Consider the following 14,365-nt stretch of genomic DNA (forward strand, 5'->3'; position numbering starts at 1 on the left):
AAAGATTAAAATTAGCTGAAGCCTCAGACGACCGTTAGCATTTTTTAGCAATAGAGTAATTTTAAATTAAGGTATGTACATAGTTCTTTCATACATAATGCTATTGTACACTTACTAGGCTACAGTAGAGTGTGAATATAACTTTTATATGTACTGGAAAAACAAAAATTTGTGTAACTTGTTTGTTACCATGGTCTGAAACCAAATCTGCAGTATCTCTGAGGTACGTCTGTAGTTTCCCTTTCCCTCTTTTGAACTTGTTTCTTGTCCTTGTCTGGTCCTGCAAGCTGTATGAGTTTGCCTTCTCTGGTAGGTCTGGGGACATGGTATCCCTTATAACCTTGGTTCCTGGCATATGACACTGGTACCAGGCTCTGTTGGACTAGTGAGGCTCCCTACACACCTCCTGAACTAGAGCAAAAGCTCTGTGCACACACCGTGCATGTGTGAGCCTGTGAGGAGACGGTGCCTTCCTGCAGGCTGTTCTGAAGGGGTGTTCTGTTGTGACTGGAGGAAATAGCCATGGGCCCCTGGGCAGAAGTGGCTCAGAATGGAATGGATGGCCCCAGTTTTGATCATCTGGGAACAGGAAGATTCTCAGATAAAAACCCATGTTTTAGAAGACAAAACTGCCCAAGAGTGGACAGCAGCTAACCAGTAAGCTATCTGGGATATCACTGTACACTGGGAGGGAAGATGGCCTCTGCCATGGTGTAGGGTGCCTGACCCAGACAAGGAGGCCTTCCTAGGGGTCAGTGCTTCTGAAGCACCTTTAAATGAGGACAAATACCTCATGTTCATGATTAGCCAACTTGTGCCCACTCAGTGGAAAAAGAACCCAGAATTTTGCAAAATTTTCAGAGAGAGGGATTCCCCTCTTGTCTCTTAGTGCTAGGGTTATGCATGACTCGTGCTTGAATTACAGTGTGTACACAGCTGAAAGTCTTAATTATTAGAATATAAGAGGCCCAAACTACTGCTGTTACAGATATGTAAAACTACACAGTATAAGTTTAAACAACCCACAACCAATTAACAGTGAAGATAAATTAACAACCTTTGTAAATTTAAAACAAGATTGGCAACCCTTTAGAAAAAAAATGAGACTTTTGCAAGACAATCTAAATGATACACTAATAACAAACGTTCATGAAAATGACATTTCAACCATCTGAATTTCTGCTTTAAGTTATAAACTCCAAAATGAACTAACTCCCAATAATTTACAGTAGGGAGCTCTAAGCCACAAATAAAGGTGTCAGGACAGACCTGAGACCTGGAGTGAGCACATCCCCTCCCTCAGGGTCATGAGTCAATCCTGTAAGACCCCTCCTCCCTCAGACACTCCATCCAGTCATCAGGAGGTCAAGAAAAGTTCCCCACAGCACTAAGACCCAACCACCTCACTGTCCTCACCTCCATGGACAGAGCCCAGGTGAAAGCCACCCCTGCTCCTCCTCCCGCATCTCTCACAGGCTCAGCACCATCGTCGGCCTGGAGTGCACCTGGACTGAGCTCATCATGCTCTGTCCCTGTTTGTGTCAGTCACACTGGGTCCCCCACATACTCTGCACTTGCATCCCCACAAGGCTCTGCACACCTCTATTCTGTCTCCCCGACCTCCCCAGCCACAGAAATCTTCCCAGTGCACCCCCTGGATTTCTCAGTCCACATCAGCAAAACCTCCTCAGCCTCTCTCAGGATGTTCCTGCATCTCACAGCTCCAGCAGCAACCTGGGTCTCCCTGAGGACATGACCCCCTCCGAAGTCCTCCCACATGGGGGAGTTTCCCCAGGGACTTGTACCCCTGGGTTCAGAGGTGAGGTGGGGTCCTTGCTCCTCATTGTGGTTCTCAGAACTTTCTGCCTCCCTCCTCCCTAAAACCCCTAGGCTGTCATCAGATTAGAGCCCCATTTGCCTCACTGTAACCATTCCCTGTGGGCCCCAGGCTGTTCTTCTCAATCCTGAGTCTTGTAGCTCCTGGTTCACTGTCACCCTCTCCAGCATTGCTGTCTCCTTGACTCTTGGTGACTTCAACATACGCAGATGTCGTGGGCTGAGTAATGGTCCCCAAAGATGTCCAGTCTTAATCGTTGGAACCTGTGAACAGGTTGCATTGCATGGCAAAAGGGACATTACTCATGTAATGAAGATTAAGGACCTTAAAATAGGGAGATTCTGCTGGAATCTCTGTGTGGGCCCAATCAAATCACAAGAGCTATTAAAAGCAGAGAGCCTGCCCTGGTTGGAGTCAGATTCTGCAGAGGAGGAAGGCAGAGGAGAAGCTGGAGAGGGGAGGTCAGAAGTTCCAAGCAGGAGGATTGAATGTGCCTTAGGCACCATGTGTGAGTATCTGAGAGAAGGCTCTAGGAGCTAAGGATGGCTCTTAACAAGGAAGTGGAAACCTCTTTTCTATCTGCAAGGAAGTGAATTCAGGCAAGAACCTGAATGAGCTTGGAAGTGGATTCTTCCCCAGAGTCTATGGAAAGGAATGCAGACCTTCCCGTATGTTGATCTTAGCCCCATGAGACTGGGTGGACTTGCAATCCACACGACTGTGCCATGATACATAGGTGCTGTTTAAAGCCATTTGGTTTGTGGTAATTTTTATGGCAGCAATAGACACCCACACAGCAGAGAAGATGCCCTCGCTTCCTGGCCTCTCAGATCCTGGAACTCCTCTCCTCCATGATCTTCTCCTGTCTGCCTGAATCTCATGCCCTTGTTATCCCCTAGGCCTCATCATGGCTAAGAACCCCAGCCCTTCCATACTCTCAACTCACACTTCCCACTCTCTGACCATCTTTCCACTCATCCCCTTGCAAGGTGGCCACAGGCTCTGAGGACACAGATACTATCATTTTATCATATGCTGTGATGTAATATCAGTGGACCACTCATCGCATATGTGCTTGCTTTCCACGCTTGGAGTCTACCCTGTAGTACATCAATTCCAACAATCGTTCCACCCTCCTGGGATTCCCAATCCAGTGATCCTGCCATCTACTCACTGTCCCTCACCCTGGGTGTCCTGTCCTCCCTCCTCACCCATTTTGAATTCTATGGTAAATAATTTCCATCCCTCCCTTCCCTCTCCCTTGAGTTGTCACACTCACCTGGCAAAACTACACAGCTGGTGGGTTCCACCTCGGCCTATGCTGAGCCTGCCCCCATGAGCTGCAGGAGGCTGGAGAGAAGCACACAGTACGCTGACTGGTCTCTTAAAATTTAGGATTCCAAACCACATGGGAAGTCTCTACCATGGCCAGCAATCACCCTCTCCCTGCATGGCTCACCCTCAGCCTCCTCCTGGCCTGGGTGACTCTTCCATACCTTTTCTTTGTGCTCACACATCCAATCTGCCTTCCCCATTCTTACTTCAGCTGATGACCTTGCTTCCCACTTCACTGAGAAAACTGAACACATTAGAAGACAACTTCACAGATTCCACCACTGTCTGCTCATGCATTTGCAACTGCACCACATGTCAGGCGTTTTACCATGTGACGGACTGTTGTGGGTTAACCATTCTGCTCCCAGCCAGAGCCAGACCCTCTTCTGGTGCCCCAATTGCCACCCCTTATCATCTACTTAAAGGTGTCAGTTCATCAATTAATACCATTTTTATCTTTATCGTCAACCTTTTTCCTCTCTCCCCACTGGATCATTGTGGCAGTCATGAGAATGCACATCCCAGCCCCTCATCTAGAAGAAGCAGAATTGATGATGGCCCCAGCTCTTGAAGTCTGAAATCTATTGCCACATTTGCTCTGAGACTATGCCCACCCCTGGCTTTTTCCAGCCAATGATTGAGGAAAGTAGGGCAGAAACTAAGGCAGGACATTTCTCTTCTGAAGGCTGACTGAAGCTCCAGGGCTCCCTGCCACCCTTACTGAACTTCCCTTAGCCTGCACAGGGTCTAGGATGCTTCCAGCTGACCTTCCTGCACTCTCTACATCACTGAGGCTCAGAGTTGCTTTGTGGTCCAGTGGCTTTCCCAGCATTTTCTATCTCATGAATTTCTCTCACAAGTATTTCCCCTAATAAATCCTTACATGTTTACTACTGTATTGGGGTCCGCTTCTCAGGGGACCCTAACTAACACAAGTGGCATGAAGGGTGATCCATGAAAACAGGCAAAAATGGGAATTTGAAATAAGCTTCCCACTGCCTGGCAGGCCAAGAGGATGCCACCCGGGTTGGTGGCAGACACAGAAAGTCCATGGCACAAGGTGCAGCTGAGCAGCTGGGGGTCTCACCAGTGCTGAGCTGAGAAGTTGCCTTGGTTAGGGAGTGCTATGGCAGATGCAGTGATAGAATGCCCTGCATAATAAGGACAGGGTTGGAAGAAACCTACAAAGACAGTGGCTTTGGCTGGTTACTGCTCGGCTGCATCGATGCTGTGTAAAAGGATAATGAGAATCTGCGGATTGTTGACAGCTATGACTGGCTACATCTGACACCCTCGGCAGTGTCTCATGGGCAGGTCTTTATCTCCTGTAGCAAAAGGGCAGATACCAAGGAATGGTAGCTGAACATCATTATGAGGGCCACAGTGCTCCAGAGATGTTTGACACTCAACCAACGCAGGCCTGTTACAGGAAAGTCAGGGCTTTGGTGGGGAAACCTGAGATTCTGCAAACTGGAACAGGATTATGCGATGGGTGCCCTCCAGGATCTTCTGGGCATGCAGAGGAGGCTCACCCTTCTCTAGTAATGGTTCCCACTTTCAATGCTGGAAGATGCTACACAATCCTCACCCCTATGATGCCACGGGAATCCCACTCAGGAGGTTTGTAGGAACTAGCCAGCACATCCCCATCGGAGCCCAGGGACCACTTCTGGGATTGGAATTTGAGGGTGTTTGATCAAGGAACCAGAATTTCAGTCTGGATGAATATAATCCTTTGGCTTGAAGACACTTTCTCAGGGCATGGATTTATCAAACACTCCAGGACTTTGATAAGTGGAATAAACCCACTGCTGGGATGTATCCACATAGTCTAGAAAAAAACATGCCCAACTCTCAACAAGGTAGACATGTCTTAGTTGCCCTGGAACATGTAGAGAATGGAATAACAAGCTGAGGGGAGTGGGCTTGGTGAAGGCCTACCAAAACCATGCTCCACAAGAGGGCCCAGAGGACACACCTTCCACCAGAGCCTCAGGAACTTGATGGTGAGAGGGACCTGCATCACTAAGAAGTGACGGGGTATTGTCCTTTGTAGGCTGGGGGTGATGGTAGTAAAGATAGTCCCAGAGTTTCATTTCTAATATTACTGGGGAGAGTGTGGCCCTGAAGAGACAAAGACCAAGTGGTGGCAGTGACTTGCAAAAGCCAGAGGGCACGGTTACTATGGCAACCTCAGAGGAGAAGCCAAGAGGACTCAAGCTGCAGGGAATGTGGGGAAGGATAATAGAGGGTGGTGTCCCAGGGTTAGGACAGGCAGCTGATTGATATCTATGATAAGAAAGCAAGAATTGAGAAGCAGGAGGGTGAAGGTGTTTGACCCAATACAAAATCATGATCCCATCCTCAATGCCTAGACCTCAGCCAAGATGCAGATTCAGATCTCAGTGACAGAGGAGGAGTCCATATCTCTAGGCGGAATACCCTGCAACCCCGTGGAAGTATATGCTGGGACAATTCCCTCAGTCCTTCGGCAAAGAAACATATAGCCATTTACTCAGGAGGTTGTACACTGGGGAAAGGAAACAGGCAGAACTAGGGGGATTATTGACACTGGGTGTGAACTGACATTGATGCTCAGATGCCCACAGCACTATCATGTCTCCCATCACAGTGGGGCTTACGGAGGTCAGGGAGTAAACCTGGACACATTATGGCCCACAATGGAACTACTGGATCCATACACCCAGCCCTGATTATCTTCCTATACCCTGAGTGCATAATTGACACTGATGCACTGCTAAGTGGAGTCACCCCCACAATGGGTCCCTAGTCTGTGGAGTAAGGACTTTCATTGTGCTGAAAGCCAAAGGGAAACCTCTGACACTGCCCCCATCCTGGCCAAATCAAAAATCATAGTGTGTCCCAGGGTGGGTCTTGTGGAAGACACTTCAAGTATTGTGGGGGTCACATCACCATTACAGAGCTGAAGGATGTGGGATGGTGTTGGGGCTGTCTGTTGTCTCTACGTAATCCAGCAATCTGTCCCTGAAGAAGCCTGATGAAGCCTAAAGAATGAACTAGATTACTCCAGGTCTGGCCAAGTAGGAGTTATAATTGCAGCTTTTGTGCTGTCTGGATATCACTGGTAGAGCAGATTAATAAACCCTTGGACACAGAGCATGCAGCTGTGGATTTGGTGACTGCATTTCTTTCCACTCCAATTAGAAAGTGGATATGGAGTGATTCACATTCATGTGGGATCCTCAAAACATTGATTTATCATTTGTCTCAGGGCTATTGTAACTCCCCTGACCTCTATAGTATAGTCTTAAGACTATACTAGACATACTGGATATCCAATAGGATATTAAATCAGCTCATATCATTGACAACTTCCTGTTGACCTGGGTGGATGAGCAGCAGGTAGAAAGTGCACTGTAGTCCTTGGCAAAACAAGGGCACTCCAGAAGGTGAAGATAAACCTTACAAAGCTTCAAGAGTGGCCACTCGGCCAGGCGCAGTGGCTCACGCCTGTAATCCCAGCACTTTGGAAGGCCGAGGTGGGTGGATCACCTGAGGTTGGGAGTTGGAGACTAGCCTAACCAACACGGAGAGACCCCGTCTCTACTAAAAATGCAAAATTATCCAGGCATGGTGGCGCATGCCAGTAATCCCAGCTACTCGGGAGGCTGAGGCAGGAGAATCACTTGAACCCAGGAGGCAGAGATTGCAGTGAGCCAAGATCGTGCCATTGCACTCCAGAGTGGGCAACAAGAGCAAAATTCCATCTCAAAAAGAAAAAAATAGTGGGCATTGAAGTAAAGTTTTATGGGTGAACAATGGCCAAGTGTTTAGGGGAATGCAGGTGTGTCCCCTCCAAGGTAACAGACAAACTGTTTCATCTTGCATCCTCACCAGAAAGAAGGAAGCACACTGCCTGATGAGCCTCTTTCAGTTCTGACAACACCACTTTCCACATCTAGGTATGTTGCTTTGGCCCACACTCTAGGTGACATAGGAGGAGGCCAGCTTCAAGTGGGGCCCACACAGAAAAGGACCCTGCAGCAGATCCAGGCCATGGTGCAAGCAGCCACCATCTCTCAGACCCCCTGGTGCTGGTGATGCCATTGGTGGGGAAAGATGCAGGATGGAGCTGAACCAAGCACCAGTGGGAAAGTCACAGTGAAAGGCCTGGGATTCTGGAGTAAGGTCATGTCATTCACAGCAGAGACATATGCCACCTATTAGAAGCAACTTTTAGTGTCCCTTGTCCTGATTAGATAGAATGTTTGACCACGGGACACCAAGCAACTATGTGGTTCCAAGTGCCTGTGTGACCCACAGAGTCATAGATTGGACAGGCCCAACAGCATCCATCATGAGGTGAAAATGGTCCACCTGGGTTGAGCTTGAATCCCATGTTTACACCCACAGAAAATACCCAAGTCTGAAGTGGCACTGAACAACCAAACAGACAAATGGAAGTTAGCCAGCCTTCACCATGGGTCAGCCCTGGTCTGGTAGGATGAGTTCATGAATGGAGCAACCACAGTGGCAGGCATGAGGCTACATATGGGGCCAACAGCACTGACTCCCCCCTACCAAGGCAGATCCAGCTGTCGACACCTCTGAATGTCCAACTCATCAGCAATTGAGGCCCATGATGTGCCCCAGTGGGGCACTATTTCTTTAGGTGACTAACTAGCCACTAAGTAACAAGTTGACTACATTTAGCTACTTCCATCCTGGAAGGGCCAGAGGTTCATCTTCACAGGGATAGGCTTCTATTCCATGGGTGTTTTCATGTCCTGCTCTCAGAAACTCAGCCAGCACCACTCTCCGGGTGCTGTTGACATTCCTGATCTGCAGGCTAGGAGGTGCTCCTAGCCCATTATCTGCCTGAAGGACCCACTTGGCTGGGAAAGTTTCAGTGTTTCCATGGCTGTGGGTTCCACTAATCCTATCACCATCTGGACCATCCAGAGGCTGCCAGCCACAAGGAATGCTGGACAGGTCTTCTACAGGCAAAACTCAGTGCCAGCCTGGAGGAAGCACTCTGAGAGGTGGGTGCCGTCTTTCAGGACACCGTGCATTGTTTGAATCAGAGATGTCTCTAGAGTGCTGTGTTCTCAATAGGAAGAACATGTGTGTCCAGGAATCAAAAGATGGAAGCAGGTTTGGCTCCACGTCCAATCCCTTAGATTCACCCAATGGGGTATTTTGCACGTTTTATCTTCCAACACTGGGCTGTGCAGGGTACGAGGTCCTGGTTTCCAAGGAGGGTACCCTTAAAAGGATACAAAAGACAGCCCACTGAACTACACATTCCGATTGTCACGAGAGAAGTTTTGATTAGTATGTGCCCAGAGACCACCTGGTGAAAAGAGGATTCTCCTCCTCTCCAGGCCCAGGTAATAGATCCTCATCTTCAGGAGAAGGCATGGCTACTTTCACACAATGAGGGCGGAAGTGTGTGTGGAAACCAGAGATCGACCTGGGGGCCTTCTGGTTTCCCTTACCTCATTGTAAGTGTGAACAGAATCATCCAGCAATTCAGCCTGAGACAGCTTGATTTCCAAGGACCCAGACCCATCAGGGCAGAAGGTTTGAGTAATGCTGGGTAATCTCCCAAGGCCCTGCTCCTGTGCTCTGACATCCTCAGTAGCATTGGTGCTGAGGCCCTGCTTCCAATGGGCTGTTCCCAACCAGTGACAGATCACACCAGTGACACGAAAGCAGGACATTCCTGGGAGACCAGGGACTCCTCTGATAGCCAACTGTAGCTCAAGGACTCCTCCATGGCCTTGCTTAACTCTCCTTAGATTGCCTGTGGTCTAGGGCACATCCAGTAAACTTTCTCTCCTTCTGTCCATCACTGGGGATCACCTTTGCATCTTGTTGCCTTTCCCAGGGTAACCTACCTCCCTTGCCATATCGCCTGACAGGTGTGTCCCCTAATAAAATGCTATAACTTTAATCCCATGATGGAACTTGCTTTTTGGAGCATTTGGACTATAAAATCATTTTCATCTGCCCACTAGTGACCTCTTGCTTATTCCAATGTGTAAAATCTTTTTGTTTATTCAACTTCTACCTGCATTGGCTCCATTTTGCTGGTATTTGTATTATGCTTTTGAGTTCCTCAATGTTTGTTGTTTAATCACTAAATTTGGGGGTAGTTTGTCACAAAGCAATGGATAACTAATGAAGCCCTCTTACATTTCCATTATTCTATAGAAGTTAACTACATCTGTTTTATTTTCTCCTATTTTGATAATATTAGCCACACATATGGTTTCTAGTTTCTTAACACCTATTCTTTTCTTTATTTTAGTTTCTTTTCTCCTTTGTTCCTTCTGTTTTTTGTTTTTTTTTTTTTTTGAGATGGAGTCTCACTCTCTCGCCCAGGCTAAAGTGCAGTGGCTCAATCTCAGCTCACTGCAAGCTCTGCCTCCTGGGTTCATGCCATTCTCCTGCCTCAGCTTCCCAAGTAGCTGGGACTACAGGCACCTGCCACCACGCCCAGCTAATTTTTTTGTATTTTTAGTAGAGACGGGGTTTCACCATGTTAGCCAGGAAGGTCTCTATCTCCTGACCTCATGTTCTGCCTGCCTCAGCCTCCCAAAGTGCTGGGATTACAGGCATGAGCCACCACACCTGGCCTCTTCCTTCCCTTTCTCCTTCCTTCTAGCCCTCCCTCTCTCTCTTTCTTCTCTATTTCCATTCAACCTATCACCTTCCCTCCTTCTTTCTCCCTTTCCTTCCCCTTCCCCTTCCTTCTTTTCTTCTTTCACTTTTTCCTCCATTCCTCCTTCTTTCCCTCCCTTCCTCCAGTTTTTCCTTTTTATTATAAAATTTTCCTAACATATAAAATAACCCTATGTGATTGGGCTGTAAGTAAGCATTTTCTGAATCTATCTGTCAAAAGCATAATGTCTTTTATATGAGAAACAAGTAAACAACAGGAAGTTATTAACAGAATAAAAATGCTTGCTATAATTCTACCACCAAGACAGTGACTTTTAACACAATTCCTTCAACTCAGTGTTTTCAGAACACATCATCAACATCAAGTATTACACATTTATTGTAAAAGTTTAAGTAGCCACAATCACTTTGGAAATCATATTATCATTATCTAGTATGGTTAAAGTCCATACAATGTATCATGCAACCAACCCATTCCTAATCATCCACTCTGGGAGCTTTGGGGCTTTCTTGCCTATGTGCACAGGAGACATGCACACTAATATTTATGGCAAAAACTGGAATCAGCCACATGTACATCAATAGGAAACTGGTGAAATTGTGGTAAAACGATATGTAAGCCTTCAGCAGTAAAAATGAATGAATGACAGCCTCCCACACCACAGATAACTCCTACACATAATGTGCATCATGGGAAAATACATGCAGTAGGAATTTGCTATACAGGAAGCTTAAAAACCAGCAAAACTAACTGAGGTTTGTTTTGGGGAGATATATATATATATATATTTATTGCACAAATCTTTGAAGGAATACAAAGGAATATGTATCAGAAGACTCAGGATGGAGTCTCCTGCTGAGACCAGCTCGGTCAGGGAGACCCTAACCCAGTGGTGCTAGAGGAATTAAAGACACACACACAGAAATATAGAGGTGTGAAGTGGGAAATCAGGGGTCTCACAGCCTTCAGAGCTGAGAGCCCGGAACAGAGATTTATCCACATATTTATTAACAGCAAACCAGTCATTAGCATTGTTTCTATGGATATTAAATTAGCTAAAAGTATCCCTTATAGGAAACGAAGGGATGGGCCAAATTAAAGGAATAGATTGGGCTAGTTAACTGCAGCAGGAACACACCCTTAAGACACAGATCGCTCATGCTATTGTTTGTGGCTTAAGAATGCCTTTAAGCAGTTTTCCGCCCTGGGCAGGACAGGTGTTCCTTGCCCTCATTCCCGTAAACCTGCAACCTTCCAGCTTGGGCGCTAGGGCCATTATGAACATGTTACAGTGCTGCAGAGATTTTGTTTATGGCCAGTCTTGGGGCCAGTTTATGGCCAGATTTTGGGGAGCTTGCTCCCAACATCTCTCCCTTCTTTGATTTGTAAGGAGATAAAAGCAAGGGCTGCTTTGTCACGGTGAGCTACTTCTTGCAGGAATCGGGATCTGCATCTGCAGACTATATGAAGACAAACAACATAGATTAAAAGCACAGTCATCATTGAAATCACAGAGCTTCCAAGTGTTTTTATCCATTTTAATGGGTTACTAGCTGCTAATTTGTCGGCAGCTCCTTTAAGCACTCCAGTTTCTGGCATTAAGTTCAGGTGTTCCTGAGATGCTTTACATATTTCTTCTTTTAATTTTAAATCCTTATGTTAAGCTCCTACAGTGGGCCATATCATTTCAGGTTGAGGTGCCACTATACCGCCATGGTTCCAGATAATAGGAACTTTTGCCATACTTCTTATCATTTCTACCATCTGACCATTTTGTTCAGATCATCTGAATATAGTGTGACCATGGCATGCAGACTGAGAGGTGCAATTCAAGCTAAACATCCCCTTAGGGGACCAATTAATGATTCCATAGGAATTATTGTGCAGCACCTCTGCCTGTTCTGCAAAGCAATCTTCCTAAACAAGTATGTTCATTTTTTCTAACTGGGTCCAATTTTGTTTCCAAATACGTTTTTGAGGGTGGTATGCCTCAATTATAGGAGCAGATTTATTATGGTAAATACTGAGATCAGAAAGCATGTGTAACCATGTCATAGAGTGATTGCATCCAGGCATTATTACAAACCCTTATTGAAGGAATACTCACGGCAGTGGTGATAACCGCTATCATAGCTGCCATTAAATTATTCATTGTGACTGGTTGTCCTGCTTTCCTCAGGTTTTCTTCTGCCATCTGTGACAGCTTCTTCATCTGTCCCCAGGTAGGTGGCTGTGTTTGACAGGTGTTGCTCATGACAGTTGGGGTCCTCCTCAGCATCAGTCTCAACATGGCTGCAACCGAGGGGTCCTCGGGATCCTCCTGGAGTCTCTTCCTTGGCATCTGGCTCATGATAAGGTTTCAGGTATCTTGATGGTATCCAAATTGGCTGTTGATTTTGGCCTGGAGAAATACAAGCATAGCCCCTACCCCAAGTTATTATTTTACCTATTTTCCAATTTTTGTTATCGGATCTCTCCACCAAATCAGTTGTTCTGTTTCTGTCTTTGCAGCTGATTTCTGTAGATGCTGTTCAGCTGCTGATAACATCTGGCCTTTGGGCAGGCTCAAAAAATTTAAAGTTAATAATGATAGGTTCAGTTGCATTTGTGGGGTTCCATATTCTCTGTCTCTCCCTTTCTGCTTTTGCAACTGCTGTTTTAGGGAGAGATTCATTCTTTCCACTATGGCTTGTACTTGAGAATTGCATGGGATACCAGTAATGTGTTTAATAGTCCACATAGAGAAAAATGTAGCTAAAGCTTGGCTAGTAGAGCCTTGGGCATTATCTGTTATAATAGAAGCTGGAATGCCCATCACTGCAAAACACTGCAAAAGATGACGTTTAACACAGGCAGAAGACTCTCCTGTTAGGCATGTAGCCCAGACAAAGTGAGAAAAGGTGTCCACACATACATGTACATAAGCTAGTCTCCCAAGCCAGGGAACATGTGTGACATCCATTTGCCAAACAGAGTTAGATTCCAGTCCTCAAGGATTAACTCCTCCTGTAAAAGATGAGGAACGTACCATTTGGCAAGATGGGCATCGCTGGATAATAGCTTTAGCTTCTTTCCAGGTAATGCTGTATCTGCGTTTGAGACCAGAGGCATTAACATGGGTTAAATTGTGAAAGTGTCTAGCATTAAATATTGCAGTAGCAACTAAGCAATCAGCCATTTGATTCCCTTCAGTCAAAGGTCCTGGAAGAGGTGTATGAGCCCTAATATGAGTGATGTAAAAAGGATGCATTCTACTCCTAACTGCTGTTTGCAATTGGGTAAATAAAGTCATCAGTTGTTCATCTGTATGAAATTGTGAGAATTTTAAATAACTGTGTGGAGTGAACCATCCATGAAGAATCAGAAATCACATTAATAGGCATATCAAAAGCAGTCAATACCTCAATTACAGCTACAAGCTCTGCTTTTTGAGCTGAAGTATAGGGCGTCTGAAAAACTTTACTTTTTGAGCCAGAATAAGAAGCTTTACCATTACTAGACCCATCTGTAAAAACATTCTCAGCACCTTCAATTGGTTTAAGTTTATTTTAGGGAGAATCCAATTAGTTAATTTGAAAAACTGAAACAGCTTCATTTTAGGAAAATGATTATCCAGAATACCCACAAAGTCAGCTAAAATGGGTTTGCTGAGTAAGACTATTTATAAAAGCTTGCGTATTTGTGCCTTCGTGAGAGGGACAAGAATTTTTCCAGGATCATATCCATGTAATTTAACAATCCGAGTTCTCCCAATCCCTATCATAGTAGTGATTTGATCTAAATAAGGAGTTAGAGTCCATAAATTAGTATGTGAAAGAAAAAGCCACTCCACTAAGTCCTGTTCTTGGACAATAACACCAGTAGGTGAATGCTGAGTTGAAAAAATTAGCAAATCTAGAGTCTTCTCTGGATCTATTCTATTTAACTGAGCTTTATGGACTTGCTCCTCAATCAGTTGTAACTCTGCCTCTGCCTCCTTTGTTAATTGCTGAGGGCTAGTGAGACTAGGATTTCCTCTAAGGATAGAAAACAGATTACTCATGGCATAGGTAGGAATGCTTAGAGCAGGTCGTATCCAATTAATATCCCCTAGTAATTTTTGAAAGTCATTTAATATTTTTAGTTGATCCCTACGTATGGTTACTGTCTGTGGCACAATGGTAGTGTCATTTACTAAGGTCCCCAAGTAGGAGTAGGGAGTAGTGGTCTGAATTTTGTCAGGAGCTATAATTAAATCAGCATGAGAAATCGAATTTTGCAAGTGATCATAACATTGAAGTAATATTTCTCGAGTGGGGGCAGCACAAACTATATCATCCACATAGTGAATAATGTAACATTGTGAAAATTTTTTACAAGTAGGTTCAATTGCTTGCCCCACATATGTCTGGCAAATTGTGGGACTGTTTAACATGCCCTGTGGCAACACTTTCCAATGATAACACTTAGCAGGCTGCAGGTTGTTTACTGCAGGAATTGTAAATGCAAACCGTTCACAGTCTTGCTCAGCTAAAGGGATAGTA

At 45.5% G+C, this 14,365-nt stretch overlaps 1 long non-coding RNA gene and 1 pseudogene across 1 annotated transcript; both read right to left on the reverse strand.

Annotated features, from left to right (window-relative positions):
• LOC353009 (HLA complex group 26 (non-protein coding) pseudogene) lies at positions 961-2,133 on the reverse strand (annotated as a pseudogene).
• HCP5B (HLA complex P5B) lies at positions 6,941-8,829 on the reverse strand. The gene has a single exon (NR_031762.2). It is a non-coding gene; the product is annotated as an HLA complex P5B (long non-coding RNA).
• Positions 8,830-14,365: the final 5,536 nt, after the last annotated feature.

Source organism: Homo sapiens, chromosome 6, assembly GCF_000001405.40.
Source record: "Homo sapiens chromosome 6, GRCh38.p14 Primary Assembly".
In the NCBI taxonomy this organism is placed as follows: Eukaryota; Metazoa; Chordata; class Mammalia; order Primates; family Hominidae; genus Homo; species Homo sapiens.